The 19268-nt window shown below is 40.3% G+C and overlaps 1 protein-coding gene across 28 annotated transcripts in view; it reads right to left on the minus strand.

Moving 5' to 3' along the window:
- The window catches only part of ST7L (suppression of tumorigenicity 7 like), a 101882-nt gene that overhangs the window by 77403 nt on the left and 5211 nt on the right, over window positions 1-19268 (minus strand). For 24 of the 28 annotated variants that reach the window (XR_007061293.1, XR_007061292.1, XR_007061291.1 and 21 more), the window contains 3 exons: window positions 15636-15798; window positions 5589-5643; window positions 2766-2881 (listed from right to left, as the gene is read on the minus strand). Coding sequence is in view for 19 of the 28 variants with exons in the window: in XM_011541628.3 (XP_011539930.1) it covers window positions 2766-2881; window positions 5589-5643; window positions 15636-15798 (334 nt within the window). In the remaining 9 variants the exon portion in view is untranslated. Of the gene's footprint in view, window positions 1-2765; window positions 2882-5588; window positions 5644-7489; window positions 7509-15635; window positions 15799-19268 lie in introns of those variants that run through there. The other 4 variants (XM_047423351.1, XM_047423350.1, XM_047423374.1 and 1 more) reach the window with 3 other exon arrangements.

The following is a 19268-nucleotide window of genomic DNA, read 5'->3' on the forward strand; positions in this document are numbered from 1 at the left end:
AAATACAAAATTAGCCGGGCATAGTGGTGCATGCCTGTAATCCCAGCTACTCAGGAGGCTGAGGCAGGAGAATTGCTTGAACCCAGGAGGTGGAGGTTGTGGTGAGCCGAGATTGCACCATTGCACTCCAGCCTGGGCAACAAAAGCAAAACTTGGTCTCAAAAGAAAAAAAAAAAAAAAAAAAAAAAAAAAGAGCATTTGTTTACGTATTGTTTTGCTTGCTTGGTTGTTTTTTTAGATATAGGGTCTTTGTCCCTCAGGCTGCAGTGCAGCAGTGCCATCATAGCTCACTGCAGCCCCAACCTTCTAGGCTCAAGAGATCCACCCACCTCAGCCTCTCAAGTAGCTGGGACTACAGGCATGTACCACCACATCTGATGAATTTTAAACTTTTTTTGTAGGGATGGGGTCTTACTGTGTTGCCCAGGCTGACAAACTCCTAGACTCATGGGATGCTCCTACCTTGGCCTCTCAAAGTGCTGGGATTACAGGCATAAGCCACTGTCCTTGGCCTATTTATGTATTTTTCAATGGATTGTAGTGGGTATTAAATCATTTGATTTCATAACATAGATTGAAATATAGGGTATACTATTATTTTTAAATGTCTGTATTTTGCAATATGTCAAAAATTACATTCTCTATGATTATTTAACCTTATGATGTCAACTTAAAAATGTGTGAAGGGACATATTCTTTTTCAAAATTCTTTTGGGAGATATTCAAATAAAAATGTTTTAATACCACAACTTCAGTAGATAGCCATGATTGCTATTTTAAAAGCCTGCTGACGTTTGCAATTCAGTGTCACTCTGTGAGAGGGGCTGTGAGAGAAAGGGTGGTGAGACCTAACTTCCAGAGTCACTCAACCCTTAAAGTTAACATACAGTACTGATACTGTGCTGCTGTTATTTCCCCAACACCTATCCTTTTGCCATTAATATAAACATTAAGCATATAAACATAAATCTATTTTTTTTACTCCTTTATTGCAATTAAACCATTTTATGTAATCATACCAAAGATTCATGGGTTTCCTATCATCCACTCTTAACCTATTTAATCTAGCAAAGATAAATCACTATGAACTCATTTTAATGCAGGAAACTGGCTATTTTTCAGACCCTTCAGTGATTTTGTGGTGGGTAGAAGCAGTAATAGTGTAGTGGTTAACAGCCAGTCTTGAGTTTGAAACATGGTTTTATCAATATTAGCTGTGTGACTCAAGGCATATTACTTGATCCCCCTTTGCTTCGGTTTCTTTATTGTTAAAATGGGGCTGATAATACCACCTATCTCATCAAGTGACTGGGAAGATTAAATTTCTATAAATTGCTCAGAACAGTGCCTGGCACATAGTAAGCCTAGGCAAGTATTAGCTATTATTAGTGAAATTGCTTAGACATCTGTGACATCTAGGCCATTCATTCATTCATACTTTTTTTTTTTTGAGATGCAGTCTCACTCTGTCGCCTAGGCTAGAGTGCAATGGCCCAATCTCAGCTCACGGCAAACTCCACCTCCGGGATTCAAGTGATTCTCCCACCTCAGCCTCCCGAGTAGCTGGGATTACAGGCACCCACCATCATGCCCAGCTAATTTTTATATTTTTGTAGAGACGGGGTTTTACCATGTTGACCAGGCTGGTCTCGAACTCCTGACCTCTGGTGATCCATCCACCTCGGCCTCCCAAAGTGCTGGGATTACAGGCGTGAGCCACCGCGCCCAGCCCATTCATACTTTCCTCAAAGAATAAATATTAATATTTACATTATGCCAGGCAATGTGCTGGATAATAGAGATTCAAAGATGAAGAGAATATAGTCCCTGCTGTCCAAAAGTTTATACCCTAGTAGCAAAGACAAACATGAAAGCAATATAATAACATTAACAAATAAATGTTTGTGGCTGAATAAATTAACTAAAGTTACTTCATAGAGGTTTAGACAAAGTAGTATAGAACTGCAGAAAACAAAATGTTTAATTCTATGACAAGGAATCCCAGAGAGGGCTTTCTAGAAAATGTGACTTTCAATTTGGATAATGAAGGATAAAAAGTAACTCATCAGATAGATAAGGAGGGTGAGTGCATTCAAAGTAGAAGAAAAATTGTGATAAAGATCCCAGACCAGGGCACAGTGGCTCATGCCTATAATCCTAATGCTTTGTAATGAGTTTGAGGTTACTTGGAGCTATGATTGCACCACTGCACTCCAGCCTGGACAACAGAGTGAAATCAATCAATCAATCAGCCCTGTCTTTAAACCATAAAATTAAGAGTCTCAATACTCTCTTCTATAGATAAGCACTTAGAGAAAACTAAACACAGAAATTTCTATGATCTTCTACCACTTTATATGTATCTCTAACTCACGACTAAAACAAAATAGACTCCAGTTTTCTGTACATGCCATTCTCCAATGTTTATACATTGACCTGTTCTTCTATTTTATGTATAATTGCAGGTGTTCATTTCCCAGACAGAAATGGGGTACACTGTTTTCTGGAAAAGTAGTTGCTATATTTGATCTGAAAGGTTTTTGAAGTAGTAAAAGAAATATGAAATATTTTAAATTCTTTATAAGGAAAAGCAGTGTATCAACCTAGCTTATAGTCATAATTTAATCTGAGTTTGTTATCAATAATATAAACAACTCCAAGCCAAATAACTAAATAACTCTGTATATTATAATAAATAACTCTAAAGAACTTTTAAGATGATCTTCATGATCACTGTTTATACTATGAACAGATATGATACATACCTGTGTCTGAAGGACGTAAAAAATCTGTGTCACAGGTGAAAAAGGTCTGATGGTCCTGAGCTGACAGGTTCATGTCATAGTATGTAAGTGGCTCTTTACCAGTCACCCAAGTGTATCTTTACCAAAACACAACAAAATATTTAAATTGAACATGAGAGAGCATCTATCTGCTATAACAGACACTACTTAAATTCAAAAATGTACTGCTACACATTTGGATGTTTTAAAATCTTACAATCAGTAAAACAAAAGATAACCTCACAAACTACTTAAAGTATGATAATAAAACATCAAAGACCAAATAGAAAAATAATATTCAATAAACAACTGCTTCTGAAAATTGAATTGGGCCGGGTGCCGTGGCTCATGCCTGTAATCTCAGCACTTTGGGAGGCTGAGGCTGGTGAATGACTTGAGACCTGCAGTTTGAGACCAGCCTGGGCAACATAGTGAGCCAGTGAGCCCTGTCTTTACCAGAAAAAAAAAAAAAAAAATTCAGCCAGGTGCAGTGGCTTGCACCCGTAATCCCAGCTACTGGGGAGGCTGAAGCTGAAGGATCACTTGAGCCCAAGAGCTCAAGACTAGCTTGAGCAATATAGCGAGATCTTATCTCTATTTTTTAACTAAAAAAAAAAAAGACTCAGTAAAACGAAAATTAAGGATTGGGAATTGAGACACAAAATGAAGCCTGGAATGGAGCTAACATATGAAATGTATACCCAAAAGTTATACTTTAACATTAAGAGAAAATAATCATTCAAAAGAAGCATAAGGATTCCTGATACTAATAAATTTATCCTAGGCCAGGCACAGTGGCTCACGCACGCCTTAATCCTTGGCACTTTGGGAGGCTGAGGCAGGAGGATCACTTGGGGTTTGAGGAGTTTGAGACCAGCCTGGCCAATATAGTAAAACCCTGTCTCTCCTAAAAATACAAAAATTAGCCGCATGTGGTAGCGGCCGCCTGTGATCCCAGCTACTTGGGAGGCTGAGGCAGAAGAATCACTTGAACCCAGGAGGAGGAGATTGCAGTGAACCAAGATCATACAACTGCACTCCAGCCTGGATGACAGAGAGAGACTCAGCCTCAAAAAAAAAAAAAAATATATATATATATATATATATATATATATATATATATGTGGATGTGTGTGTATACACACACACACACACACACACACACACACACACTTCTTTTCAAGATCTTCAGGAAATGGATACTGCATAATACAACAAATAGCCTCAAACTTTGATTAAACACAGTAAGAGATACAAGGACCTGTTTCTTACAGGTATCCCTTAACACAGGCTAATGGCATCTTTCATAAAAGCCTGGCTTTCACTTCACAGAATGTCACTATCTTACACTATCATGTCTTTAAGCATAGGAGTTATTGCTTAGTCATTTTTGTATCTCCATCATTTTGCACAGTGCCTGTACATGGTACAAACATAATGTTTCTTATTCAATAAGTTAAATAACATGCCCCATTCTACTTCTGGGTAAAACGCAGCACTCCTCAAAATAAAAGTAAAGTATCTTTGCTCATAAGTTTCAAAAGATGTTTTCTCATTTAGAGTTAAAAACCAGAAGAGAAATGGACACAGTAGTGAAAATAGGAAGCGGCAATATGAAGTCAATATATAGTCCCTCTACTGTTGCACAATTTACATTCAGAGTGATATTTTCTAATGCATCCTCAAATTTTGAAATTTAGCACTCATGCACAGGAATATGCTGACACTGGTAATTTTTTCTTAATGTCACAAATTCTTTGAAAAAGGCTTTTTATAAACCAGGGGCCTAATACATACTTAAATGTATACAATGTATACTTATACGTATCACAAATACTTATATGTATTATAAACCAGGGGCCTAATATATACTTATACGTATCACAAACATATAGTTTGATGTAATGTTTCTTATGATTATCAAATTAAACACAGGCTATGTGTGGTGGCTCATGCTTGTAATTCCAGTGATTTGGAAGGCCAAGGCAGGAGTATTACTTGGGCCCAGAAGTTTGGGACCAACCTTGGCAACATAGCAAGACCCCTGTCTACCAAAAATTTTTTTTTTTGAGATGGAGTTTTGCTCTTGTCGCCTGGGCTGGAGTGCAATGGCGTCATCTCAGCTCACTGCAACCGTTGCCTCCTGGGTTCAAGTGATTCTCCTGCCTCAGCCTCCCAAGTAGCTGGGATTACAGGTGTCTTCCTCCACGTCCAGCTAATTTTTGTTTTAGTAGAGACGGGGTTTCACCATGTTGGCCAGGCTGGTCTTGAACTCCTGACTTCAAGTGATCCGCCCACCTTGGCCTCCCAAAGTGCTGGGATTACAGGCATGAGCCACTGCACCTGGCCTCTACCAAAAATTTAAAAAAATTAGCTGGATGTGGTCTCTGCCTATGGAGTAGCGATTCTTTTATTCCTTTCCTTTCTTAATAAACTGGCTTTCACTTAAAAAAAAAAATTAGCTGGATGTGGTGGCATGTGCCTATAGTCCCAGCTACTTGGGAGGCTGAGGCAGGAGAATTCCTTGAGCCCAGGAGCTCAAGGCTGCAGCTAGCTATGATCGTGCTACTGCACTCCAGCCTGAGTGACAGGGCAAGACTCTATCTCTAAAAAATTTTAATTAAAAAAAAAAAGTAAACACAGTGAAGATGCTGCCAAATAAACTGTGGACTAATCATTTTACTTTATCATAGACCAGTATCTTCTACTAGAAGAGCTGCGATATATTTATAAAGACAAATGATTTTGTAAATACCTTTACTCTAAAACCAATGCCCTACTTATACTGAAAGCAAAATGTAATACCTCCTATATTCTGCTCCTCTGAAAAGATTTAGAGGGTTTCTCCATACCTTACATTCTGAAAAACAAGGGAGAAAAAGGGGGAAAAAGAGACACTTTAAAATCTTCATTTAACCAATATCTATTGTCTACCCACTGTAGGCTAATCACAGTGCTAGCCACAGATGGTACAAAGATGAATAAAGCATGCTTTCAAAAAACAGAATTAAATCTAGTCATTTCCTTATTTCTGTCTCCATAGTATTTGGTTCATAATTCAGTTATAGCACTTACCATATTACAATGTGATTATCTGCTTGGTTTTGTTTCCCCTTTAAAATATGAAGTTTTAAAACTTCGCTCATTTTTCTATTCCTAGAACCAAGCACAGCATCTAGAACTGACTTGCTTAACTGAATTAAATATAGTATGAGAGTAGTCATGTAAATGGCCTGAACTCTGTAATAACAGACATGTTTTGTTCTTTTTGTTTTGAGACAGAGTCTCGCTCTGTCACCCAGGCTGGAGTACAGTGGCGCAATCTCAGCTCACTGCAAGCTCCATCTCCCGGGTTCACGCCATTCTCCAGCCTCAGCCTCCCGAGTAGCTGAGACGACAGGCGCCTGCCACCACACCCGGCTAATTTTTTGTATTTTTAGTAGAGACAGGGTTTCACCATGTTAGTCAGGATGGTCTCAATCTCCTGACCTCGTGATCCGCCTGCCTTGGCCTCCCAAAATGCTGGGATTACAGGTGTGAGCCACCGCGCCTGGCCAGACACGTTTTGTTCTAAGAGAAAAAAAAAGAAGTGATTAAATTTGTTCTGGGAAAATCAGGGAAGGCTTTAGAAAGGTGGTGATATTTGAACTGATGTTGAATCACTGTAAAAAATGAGAGTAAGCTTGCAAAATGACGAACATCTGCAGCAGAGGAAGTGTCATAAAACCATACAGCATGGTTAGGCTAGAGTACAGGGTAAGGAGTGTGAGGGAGAAGTGTAAATGGGGTTAGAAAATAGACTGGAAGAGGCCGGGCATGGTAGCTCACGTCTGTAATCCCAGCACTTTGGGAGGCCAAGGTGGGCAGATCACCTAAGGTCAGTAGTTCAAGACCAGCCTAGCCAACATAATAAAACTCCATCTCTACTAAAAATACAAAATTAGCTGGGCATGGTGGTGCGTGCCTGTAATCCCAGGTACTCAGGAGGCTGAGAGTGAGACAGAAGAATTGCTTAAACCTGGGAGGCGGAGGTTGCAGTGGATGGAGATCGCACCATTGCATTCCAGCCTGGGCGACAAGAGCAAAACTCCATCCAAAAAAAAAAAAAAAAAAAAGAAAAGAAAAGAAAATAGACTGTAAGAAATTGATGAAGGACCGTTATGTACTACAGTAAAGAGTTTAGATATTATCCTTGGTCATCAAAGGTTTATAAGCAGAAAAATAACAAATATCAAATCTTTGTTTAGATCAGCAGTTCTCAAAGTATGATTCATGGAACTGCAAAGTAACAATTCTTCAAAATAAATTCTAAGACATTATTTGCCTTTTTAAATGTGTTTACTTGAACTCAGTTGCATGACCCTGAGAGTAAGGGTGTCCTTAAATTTTGTACATCAGGCACCTGCCTCACTTGTCTTACTCGTCCTACAAAATTGAACAGGTGATGAAAAGTCAATGATGGGTAAAACTGCTAGTACATTAGCATGAGTCAAGACAATGACAACAAACTGTACTAGAAGTCATTGGATTCTTCACTTCCACATCCTTACAGTAAAAATAAGGCAAATTTCTTTTAAACATTATAGCAGGTATGATGGTTGTCTCTAGTAAAGCAATTGTTTGTGAGAACTGGCCCCTTTTGTAATGAAACACCACTTTTACTTGAAAGAGCCACACACAAATTTAACGGTTATTTAGATGGGTACCTGGCAGACATTTTCTTTCTTTTTTTTTTTTTTTTTTTTGAGACGGAGTCTCTCTCTGTCGCCCAGGCTGGAGTGCAATGGTGCAATCTCCGTTCACTGCATGCTCCGCCTCCCAGGTTCACGCCATTCTCCTGCCTCAGCCTCCCGAGTAGCTGGGACTACAGGTGCACCCACCACCACGCCCGGCTAATTTTTTTGTATTTTTAGTAGAGACGGGGTTTCGCCATCTTAGCCAGGATGGTCTTGATCTGCTGACCTCGTGATCCACCCGTCTCGGCCTCCCAAACTGCTGGGATTATAGGCAGCCACCGCGCCCGGCCCCTGGCAGATATTTTCTTAAAAATGAACTGAGTCTGTCAAGAAAAAGGAAGAAAATGAAAGTATTTGCTGCCAGTGATAAAATTTGAGCTTTCAAGTACATACTGAAATTTTTAAAAATGTATGTCTGCTACTGTGAGCCTGGCAAATTTCACAATAAAGACTTTTCTGTGAGAATGGTGATGATATTAACAAGTGAGTTTTTTCGTATTATGCAATAAGATGGATCATGATATGGATATGATATGCATAATTCAGTGAACAAGTATTTTCCAAACAACCAATGTATGATATAAAATTATGCATCGGTAAAAGATCCATTCAAAATGTTAAGATATACCAATAGATTTTCACATAACAGAGCATGCAAAGTTCAGATTTTACACTGCAACTAAACTTTCAGAAGAGTACTCATAGAAAGTTTTAGTGTAGTATCAAAAAAAGGTATCCACAATTTTCTGAGAAGATTATTAAAATACTCCTCCCCTTTCCAATTACACATCTGTGTGATGCCAGGTTTTCTTCATACACTTCAATCAAACACCATTTCACAATAGACAATGGAGAATAAGCTGTCTTCTATTAACTGAACTTTTTCTTGTTGTGGGAAATACATTTTTCACAATGTGTGTATAGCTCAGGCTGCCGTAACAAAATACCATTGACTGTGTGGCTTAACAGAAATTTATTTTCTCACAATTCTAGAGGCTAGAAGTCTGAGATCAAGGTACCTGCAGGGTACCAGCACAGCTGAGTTCTGGTGAAACTGAGTTCTTGTTGTGTTCTCACAAGGAAGAGAGAGCTCTGGTATCTCTTATTATTATTATAAGGCCTTCCTGTCTTATCAGGTTTCCACTCTATTTTATCTTAATTACCACCTGAAGCCCTATTTTCAATAGTCATATGGGGGATTAGGGGTTCAAAATATGAATTTTGGGGAACACAATTCAGTCTACAGCATTCTGGCCCTGGCCCCCCAAAATTCATGTCTTTCATATATAATACATTAATTCGGCTGGGCACAGTGGCTCACGCCTGTAATCCCAGCACTTTGGGAGGCCAAAGTGGGCAGATCACTTGAGGTCATGAGTTTGAGACCAGCCTAGTCAACACAGTGAAATCCTGTCTCTACTAAAAATACAAAAAATTAGCTAGGTATGGTGGCGCATGCTTGTAATCTCAGCTACCTGGGAGGCTGAGGCACAAGAATTGCTTGAACTTGGAAGGCGGAGGTTGCAGTGAGCCGAAATGGTGCCACTATACTTTAGCCTAGGCAACAGAGCGAGACTTCATCACAAAATAAATAAATAAAAATACAACAATTCTCCCCCAAAAGTCTTAACTCATTCCAGCATCAATTCTAAAATCTAAAGGCCAAAGTTTCATCTAAATATTATCTGAATCAGACATAGGAGAGGCTCAAGGTACAATTCATTCTTAGACTCAATTCCTCTCCAGAAGTGAACCTATGGAACCAGACAAGTTATGTGCTCCCAATATACAGTATGATGGTGGGCAGACATAGGATAGACATCCCCATTCTCAAATGAAAAAAATCAAAAGGAAGGAAAGGGTAATGGTTACCAAGTCCAAAACCTAGCAAGGCAAATTCCATTACATCTTAAAACTTGAATGCCAGGCACAATGGCATTCCTGTACATGCCTGTAATCCCAGCTACTCAGGAGGCTGAGGCAGGAGGATCACTTGAGCCCAGGAGTTCAAGACCCCAGCCTGGGCAACATAGTGAGGCCTTGTCTCTCTTAAAAAAAAAAAAAAAAAAAAAAAAAAAAGACTGGGCGTGGTGGCTCATGCCTGTAATCCTAGCACTTTGGGAGGCCAAGGCGGGTGGATCACCTGAGGTCAGGTGTTCAAGATCAGCCTGGCCAACATGGTGAAACCCCATCTCTACTAAAATACAAAAAAAATAGCTGGGCGTGGTGGTGCATGCCTGTAATCCCAGCTACTCGGGAGGCTGAGGCAGGAGAATCATTTGAACCCAGGAGGCAGAGGTTGCAGTGAGCAGAGATCACGCCATTGCATTCCAGCCTGAGCAGCAAGAGTGAAACTCCGGCTCCAAAAAAAAAAAAAAAAAAAAGGGCCGGGCATGGTAGCTCACACCTATAATCCCAGCACTTTGGGAGACCAAGGCGGGTGGATCAAGAGATGAGAAGTTCAAGACCAGCCTGGCCAAGATGATGAAACCCCATCTCTACTAAAAACTACAAAAAAATTAGCTGGGTGCAGTGGCAGGTGCCCGTAATAACAGCTACTCGGGAGGCTGAGGCAGGAGAATCACCTGAACCCAGGCAGCAGAGGTTGCAGTGAGCCGAGATTGCGCTCCTGCACTCCAGCCTGGGCGACAGAGTGAGACTCCGTCTCAACAACAACAAAAAGAGGCCAAGTGTGGTGGCTCATGCCTGTAATCCCAGCACTTTGGGAGGCCAAGACAGGCAGATCACCTGAGGTTGGGAGTTCCAGACCAGCCTGACCAACGTGGAGAAAACCCGTCTCTACTAAAAATACAAAATTAGCCAGGCGTGGTGGCGCATGCCTGTAATCCCAGCTACTCGGGAGGCTGAGGCAGGAGAATCACTTGAACCCAGGAGGCAGAGGTTTCAGTGAGTCGAGATCACGCCACTGCACTCCAGCCTGGGCAACAGAGCAAGACTCTGTCTCAAAAAAAAAAAAGAGAAAAAGCTTGAGAATTCTTTTTGGCTTGATACTCTGCCCTCCAGGCCTACTGGGGTGGCAGTGTCACCCCCATATCTCTGTGGTACAGCCCCACCCATGCAGTTCTCTGTGAGGGTGGCCTGGCCCCAGAAACTGGAAAGGCAGCCTCACCCTTTGAAACCAAGGAGGAAACAGCCTTGCCCTCTGGGCCTGTATTGGGAGCAGCAGTCCTGGATTTGGTCATTCTTCCTTTTCTTTGAAGTCAATACATGTTGACAATTGAACAGCTCTATGGTCTGGTCCTGTAGAATCCAAAAAGTCTAACAGCCTTCCTTCATTCTGTCCCACCTTCCCTGTCCCTTTTAGTTCAAACTGGTAGTGTGTTTGCTCGTGTAAACTCAATTCTGTTCCTGGCTTCTACTAAGATGACTAAGTCCATGAAGTGCACACGTGATATCAAATAGTTGTTCAACCACATCCCTACTATTGTCTTCAGAGCAAGTTTTCTCATGTATTTTATAAAATGGATAGGCTGAGAATTTCCAAATCTTCAAGTTGTGGTTCCTTTTTGCTTAACAAGGGCTTCTCCTATTCATCTCTTTCCTTTCACATTTCACTATAAGCAGTCAGAAGAAACTAAGTGGTGCCACTTTGCTTAGAAATCTCCTCAGCTAAATATCCAATGTCATTGCTCTCAAGTTCTACTCTCCCCAAAATGCTAGAATACAGTTCAGCCAGTTCTTTTCCACTTTATACAAGGACCACCTTTCCTCCAGTTACCAACCACATATTCCTCATTTCCACTTGAGACCTCACCAAACTGTCCTTATCCATATTTCAAGTGTGTACCTCAAAACTCTTCCAGCCTCAACTCATTACCCAGCTCCAAAGCTGTTTCCACATATTTAGGTGTTTGTTACAGTGGCACCCCACTTCTTCGTAACAAAATCTGAGTTAGTCAGCTCAGGTTGCCATAACAAAGTATCATATGCTGAGTGGCTTAACAACAGAAATTTATTTTCTCACAATCTGAAGGTTGGAAGTCCAAGATCAAGGTACTAGAATGGTTGGGCTCTGGTGAGGGCTCTCCTCCTGGCCTTCAGAGAGCAGTCTTCTCACTGTGTCTTTGCATGGCAGAGAGACAGCAATCCCTCTCTTCTTCTTACAAAGCCATCAATACTATCAGATTAGGATCCCCTCATTTAACCTTGATTATCTCCTAAAAACCCTAGCTCCTAATACAGTTACATTAGAGGTTAGAGTTTCAACATGTGAATTTTGGGGGACACATTTCAGTCTACAACATGTTAACACGTAATGGATTTACTACTATTAAAATATTTTTAAATTTCCTGCTTTAATTTCTAATATGATAAATATTGATGGATATAGTCCACATTTAAACAAAGGCTCTTTGAGGTCCTGGATAATTTTTTAAGAATGTAAAGGATTTCTTAGTCTAAAAAGTTTGAGAACCACTTTTTTTTTTACCTAGTAAGGAGAGAGTATGTACTAGAAGGGGAAGTGTAAGAGGAAGGGAAACCACTTAGGATACTATAGCAATAGCCAAGGGAAGAGATGTTTAAGGGCCTAGATATGGGGCTATGAATGTTGAAAGAAAAGAAGACAGAATGGGCCAGGCCTGGTGGCTCATGCCTGTAATCCCAGCACTTTGGGAGGCCGAGGTGGATGAATCATCTGAGGTCAGGGGTTTGAGACCAGTCTGGCCAACATGGCGAAAACCCATCTCTACTAAAAATACAAAAATTACTCTGGCATGGTGGCAGGTGCTTGTAATCCCAGCTACTCGGGAGGCTGGGGCAGGAGAATCGCTTGAACCCGGGAGGTGGAGGTTGCAGTGAGCCAAGATCGCGACATTGCACTCCAGCCTGGGCAACAAGAGTGAAATTCCATCTAAGAAAAATAAAAAAGAAGGCAGAATGGAGTCACGATGATTTTTAAGGGGGAATACAATTTGGGGTTGATTGGAGAAAACAGGGGAAATATAAATGATATAAACTAAAAAAAAAACCCAAAGATTGCTAAAATGGAATTGGACGCCATTAGAAGATTTTAGAATTATAGAGGAAGAACTATGGAAGAAGATAATTAGTTTCATTTTGGATGGAGTTCAGGGTGGTTAGGGCCATTAAAGGTGGAAAATTCTAGCAAAGAGTTAGAAATGTAGGTCTAGAGTTTAAAAGAGAACTTGGGGGTAAAAATTTTAAATTGGTTCCCCCCAGCATATATGTCTGTGGTAGCTAATATTATTGAATAAGATGAAGTTATCCAGGGAGAAAAAAATTGAACAAAAGCATGCTTTAATTCACTTAAAAAATTTTTTTTTCCCCCTTGGAGAGAGGGTCTTGCTCTGTCACCCAGGCTGGAGTGCAGTGGCACAGTCATAGCTCACTGCAGCCTCAAACTCCTGGGCTCAAGTGATCCTCCTGCCTCAGCCTCCCAAGTAGCTGGAACTACAGGTGCGTATTACTGTGCCCAACTGATTTTATTTTTTGTAGAGATGGGGGTCTTGCTATGTTGCCCAGGCTGGTCTCAAACTCCTTGTCTCAAGTGATCCCCTTACCTCAGCCTCCTAAAGCACTAGAATTATAGGTTTGGGCCACTGTGCCCAGCTTTTAACTCAATTTGAGATCCAATTCAAGTATTTCCTCTGTGATATATTTTGCGGCCCTCCCTCCAAGAATAACTGACCACTCTTTCTTTTCTGTCACCATAGTATCTTATATAAGACACCATGTATCTTTATAGAGTATCATATATAAGATACTCTATAAAAGCAGTTAACCATACTCTTTTACTGTCAATTTATTTATATCTGTATCCTCTGCCAAGATGAAATGTTCTTAAGGTTATCTTCACTCTCATTATTAATGGCATATTCAGTCTTACAATGGAAAATAAAATCACATCATGTGCTATTGTTATAATTATTTATATATTGAACGCTGAGCTTCATGAGGACAGATCTGTATCGTATTCATCTTAATATGCCTTACTCTTAGGGGTTCTGTAATTATTTTATGAAAAAGAAAGAAGAGGAAAGGAAATGACCATTATTCCTTCTTGTACTCTTGAATGGCTGCCAACCCCACCCCACTATTCCTAGTCAGGCTTCAGGACTCCACTTAAATGGTGCTTCCTCAGGGACTTTGACCAAATCTAAAAAGTGCCACCAGTTGCACTCAGGCAGTATTTTTCTACTAAACTATCATAACTCTAGTGGTAAGCTATTGAACAAATGAGGCATTTGGAATATTATGGAATTAACTCATTTGTATTATTACTATATGGTTATTACCTATCCCAGTGAAAGGAACAATAATCCAAAATATTCATTTTGGCCCAGGAGCGATGGCTCACACCTGTAATTCCAACATTTTGGGAGACTGAGGTGGGAGGATCACTTGAGCCCAGGAGTTCGAGACCAGCCTGGGCAACATACTGAGACCTCATCTCTATTAAAATAATAATAATAATAATTGTATTTGGCTTTGTAAATTTTCCTTTCCTAATTATGTATCATTAAAAATATTTGCTTTCTAGCTGGCCAGGCTCAGTGGCTCACGCCTGTAATCCTAGCACTTTGGGAAGCCGAGGCAGACAGATCACCTGAGGTCGGGAGTTCAAGACCAGCCTGGCCAACATGGTGAAACCCATCTCTACTAAAAATACAAAAATTAGCTGGGTGCAGTGGTACATGCCTGTTATTTCAGCTACTTGGGAGGCTGAGGAAGGAGAATCACTTGAACCCAGGAGGCAGAGGTCGCAGTGAGCTGAGATTGCACCACTGCACTCTAGCCTGGGCTACAGAGACTTCGTCTCAAAAAAAAAAAAAAATGCTGGGTATGGTGGCTCACGCCTGTAATCCCAGAACTTTAGGAGGCCAAGGTGGGCAGATCATGAGGTCAAGAGATTGAGACCATCCTGGCCAATATGGTGAAACCCCATCTCTACTAAAAATACAAAATATTAGCCAGGCATGGTGGTGCATGCCTGTAGTCCCAGCTACTCGGGAGGCTGAGGCAGGAGAATCATTTGAACTTGGAAGGAGAGGTTGCAGTGAGCCGAGATCGCACCACTGCACTCCAGCCTGGCAACAGACAAGATTCTGTCTCTAACTAAATAAATAAATAAATTTGCGATTACTCGACACAAATAGAGGAACAGTCTACAATAAAAGTATGACAATGGAATATCCATCCATGAAGAGCTGAGACTTTGATGCCTTTTTAAGTATACTGAAAAAAATTTTTTTTCCTACTTTTCTCTCTTGGCAGAGATGGCTGTTTCTGTTCTCTCCTTTATTAGTCATAAGATTCCCTGATTTGCTGGGCGTATATATATATATACACTGAGAAAATGATGAAAATTTCTAGCCTTCCTTATAGCTAGTAATGGCCATATGAAACAGACCTGACCAGTAGGAAGTAAGGTGAAATAGTATGTAACATTTCTGAGAATAGTCCTTGGCTTCTGTGGGGTGGAGTAGAGGGAAGTAGTGACCTTACCCCGGATTTCTTTCCTTCCTACTGATTGGAATGTGGATATGATGGCTGAAGCAAGAGCAACAGTCTTACACGACAAAGTAAAAACTACATTTGGAGATGGCAGGCTAACAAAATAGAAGGGGTCTGGGTATCTGATGATTATTGTTTTCCATACTAGCCATGGACTAACTATATTAACATGAAAGACAAATTTCTGTGTCTTGGTCCATTTGGACTGCTATAACAAAATATCACAAACTGCGTAGATTATAAACAGTATAAATTTATTTTTAACAGTTCTGGAGGCTGGGAAGTCTATGACCAAGGTACCAACAAATTTGGTGTCTGGTGAGGGTCTGCTTTCTGGTTCACAGACGGCGCCTTCTCGTGGTGTCCTCCCACGGTAGAAGTGGCAAGCAGCTCTCTGGGGTCTCTCATAAGGGCATTCATCACATCCCTGAGGGCACTGCCCTCATGACCTGATCACCTCCCAAAGACCCTACCTCGTAACATCACATTGGTGATTAGAATTTTGGGGGAAACACAAACATGCACACCACAGCACTCTGCTGTTTTGAGTTTTCTATCTCCCAGAGCCAAACTCAATCTTAAATACACAGCTCTGAAAACACATTAGAAAAGTAGTCACCTGACAAATTCTGTCTGCTGGTTTCATTTTCTCTGTTCCTCGAAGGAGAACCTGGTTCTGAAATGCTGCTCTCTGTTCCTCCCATCAGTGGTTGCAAATGGCTTACAGATACTTGCTCAATAAAAGATGTGCCATGCTTATGGAAGTACCACCATTCAAATATCTATGACAAACAGAAAATATCCTGCACTTAGAATCGATCAGCAGATACATGAGCTCAAATTAAAACATTCTCTCAAGATGTCCTGTTCAATTCAGCATTTTAAATGCACTCTCCTTTCAAAAAGAAAAAAACATACAAACACAAGATTCACCAATAACATGTCACGTAAAAGTGAAATACATTTTTTATAGTTCCGTCATAAAATTTAGACAAGCTTAAGCAAAACTAGGCATATGTAATAAAGCATTAAAAACAGAAAGAAGCATTTTAATCTATAAGTAATTTAACTCTGTTAAGTTACATTGTCATTTTATTCTATCTGCAGCATAAACAGTTTTCAAATAATAAGCATAGTGGATGAACAGACTAGACTAGCATCAGCATGCCCATGTTTTAACTCCCAAATCAGTCATTTATTAGCTGTGTGCTGTGGGCAAGTCACTTAATCTCTTAATATCTCAGAGCCTCAGCTAAATGTGGTTAACAAGAATTATAAGAAAGTGCTTTCTGAAGCAAAAAGTACTACTCTGGTATTTGGCAAAATTATTAATAAAGGTTAAGGTCAAGTTGATTCCCATATTGAACCATTTAAAAATCAGGATATTCATTTCTTTCTATTTCCATGGTTTATCACTGATATAAAAAGAGAAACCAGGCCAGACACGGTGGTTCACGTCTGTAATTCCAGCACTTTGGGAGGCCAAGAAGTCCCAAAAGAGGGATCCTCAAGAAGAATCGCTTGAGCCCAAGAATTCTAGACCAGCCTGGACAAAACAGTGAGACCTCATCTCTACAGAAAAATATAAAAATAAAATATTAGCTGGGTGAGGTGGTGCATGCCTGCAGTTCCAGCTACTCAGGAAGTTGAAGTGGGAGGATCTCTTGAGCCCAAGGAGGTCAAGGCTGCAGTGAGCTGAGATTGCACCACTGCCCTCCAGCCTGGGCAATAGAGTGAGACCCTGTCTCAAAAAAAAAAAAAAAAAAAAAAAAAGTCACCTGACAGACTAGTCTTCTGCCAAATGTAGTGGATACATGTATTACTTTAAAGAATAAACAAAGCATATGCACAACTAAGAGATTTTAATCTTTTTATTTCCTTTTTTTAAAATGTTTTGAGATAGGATCCCACTGTCACCAGGCTGGAGTACAGTGGCATGATCACAGCTCACTGAAACCTTGACCTCCCTGGGCTCAGGTGATCATCCCACCTCAGCCTCCCGTGTAGCTAGGACTACAGGCATGTGCCACCATGCCCAGCTAATTTTTATGTTTTTTGTAGGGACAAGGTTTTGCCATGTTGCCCAGGCTGGTCTCAAATTCCTGGGCTTAAGCGCTCTGCCCTCCTTGGCCTCACAAAGTGCTAGGATTATGGGTGTAAGCTACCATGACCGGCCAGATTATAATATTTTTGAAAACTATTTTACTATGACCACAAACAGAACCCATCACAAAAAAATCAGCATTTTCAAATCTGTAGGAATGTTATTTTTTTGCTTCAGTAAATAACAGAACAAATATGCTACATAGGTGCCAAAAGTATAGTCATGTTGGGGCCCGCTGACTACATGCCACAACGTTTATAGGAAAGTGTGAGAAAATCATGGTGCAGCATTTTTTCTATCATGTCACTAATGTTTTATGCTCAGTCTAAAATGGTATCTCTTTCTGCTCACTCTTAAGTTAGCAAGAATTACCACCAAATGAGGCCATGGTTTGACTTCTACCATATATTTTACTAAGAAGTGAGATAAAACTTCTTTACACAAGCAGAAACTGTTCATGTGACAGAAAAGGTTTATATTGAATAAATCTTGGCTAAGAAAATTGGATAGGGCCAGGCACGGTGGCTCATGCCTATAATCCCAACACTTTGGGAGGCTGAGGTGGGAGGATCACTTGAGGCTGGGAATTTGAGATTAACCTGGACAACATAGTGAGACCCCATCTCTACAAAACATAAAAAAAATGAGCCAGGTGTGAGGGTGTGTGCCTGTAGTCCCAGCTACTTTGGAGGCTGAGGTGGGAGGATTGCTTGAGTTCAGCAGGTCAAGGCTGCTGTGAGCTGTGATTGTACCACTTCACTCCAGCCTGGGTGACAGAGTAAAACACTGTTTCGAAAAAAAAAAAGAGAAGATAAGTACCATCAAGGGCAACAACAACACACTTCCCTTCACCATACAAAGTGCAGGTGGGTTTTCTAATGAATGAGTATGAAGTTAGGGGCTTTTTTCAACTTTTGAGTCAACTTTTTAACACAAATGAACAATGGTAATAATAACTGCAAATACTTATCAAAAGCTTTCTATGAGCCACACATTATGCCAATCCTTGACATGCATTATGTCATTTAATTTTTATAACAACTGATTTTAGAGATGAGGACACACATTCCAAATTTAAATAACAGTTCACATCACTGGTAACTGGCAGAGCTGGGATTCTTATTCAGGTTTGCCTGACTTCGGAGCTTCCAACCATTACACCAGACTGATTCATAAATATATCTCTTTATACATGTATATGTGATTATATGTATATACAAGTTTGTTAAATCCAGGTGGTAAAAGAAATTATAAACACAACAACCTTTGCTAATAAAAACCCATCAACATTGCAAGGGTAATAATACAGTTTAACCTTTAAAATGTTACTTGAATTTCCTAATTTGTGTATATTTAAAATGCGGTTTTATAAAGAGTAACAAAAGGTTTTTTTGGGTTTTTGTTGTTGTTGTTTTGTTGTTGAGACAAGGTCCACTCTGTTGCCCGGGCTGGAGTGCAGTAGCATGATCACAGCTCACCACAGCCACGATTTCCTGGGCTCAAGCAATCCTCCCACCTCAGTCTCTGAAGTAGCTGGGACTACAGGAATGCGCCACCACAACGCGCTAAATTTTTAAAATTTTATACAGAGACCAGATCTTGTTCATTTGTCCAGGCTGCTCTTGAACTCCTGGCCACAAGCAATCCTCCTGCCTCAGCCTCCCACAGTGTTGGCAGTACAGACACGAGACACCACACCTGGCCACAAAAAGTTTTTTACAAGGTTTTAGACATCATATATATAAGTTATCCCCCTCTTATAAATGAGGAAATTATAGCTTAGACAGTTTATGTAGCTTGCCCAAAATTATCAGCTAGTAAGTGGCAGAGTTAAGATTCAAAATTTTATCTTCTGGTTCCCAAACCAGAGCTTTTTCCACTATATCAGCTGCTTAATATTGATAGTTTCTTTAAAACAAACAAACAAAAACCATATTAAATAGAGACAGGGTCTTGTTGTTGCCCAGGCTGGTCTCAAACTTCTGGCATTAAGGGATTCTCCCACTCCATCCTCCCAAAGTGTTGGGATTACAGGTGTAAGCCACCGTGCCTGGCTTAAAGACAGTTTATCGTCTTTACTTAGACTTTTGTATGCTATGGACTAAACATGCTAAAATATGCTTATGTTAAATTATGAGGCTTATATTA

This window comes from Homo sapiens, chromosome 1 (assembly GCF_000001405.40).
Source record: "Homo sapiens chromosome 1, GRCh38.p14 Primary Assembly".
Taxonomy (NCBI): domain Eukaryota; kingdom Metazoa; phylum Chordata; class Mammalia; order Primates; family Hominidae; genus Homo; species Homo sapiens.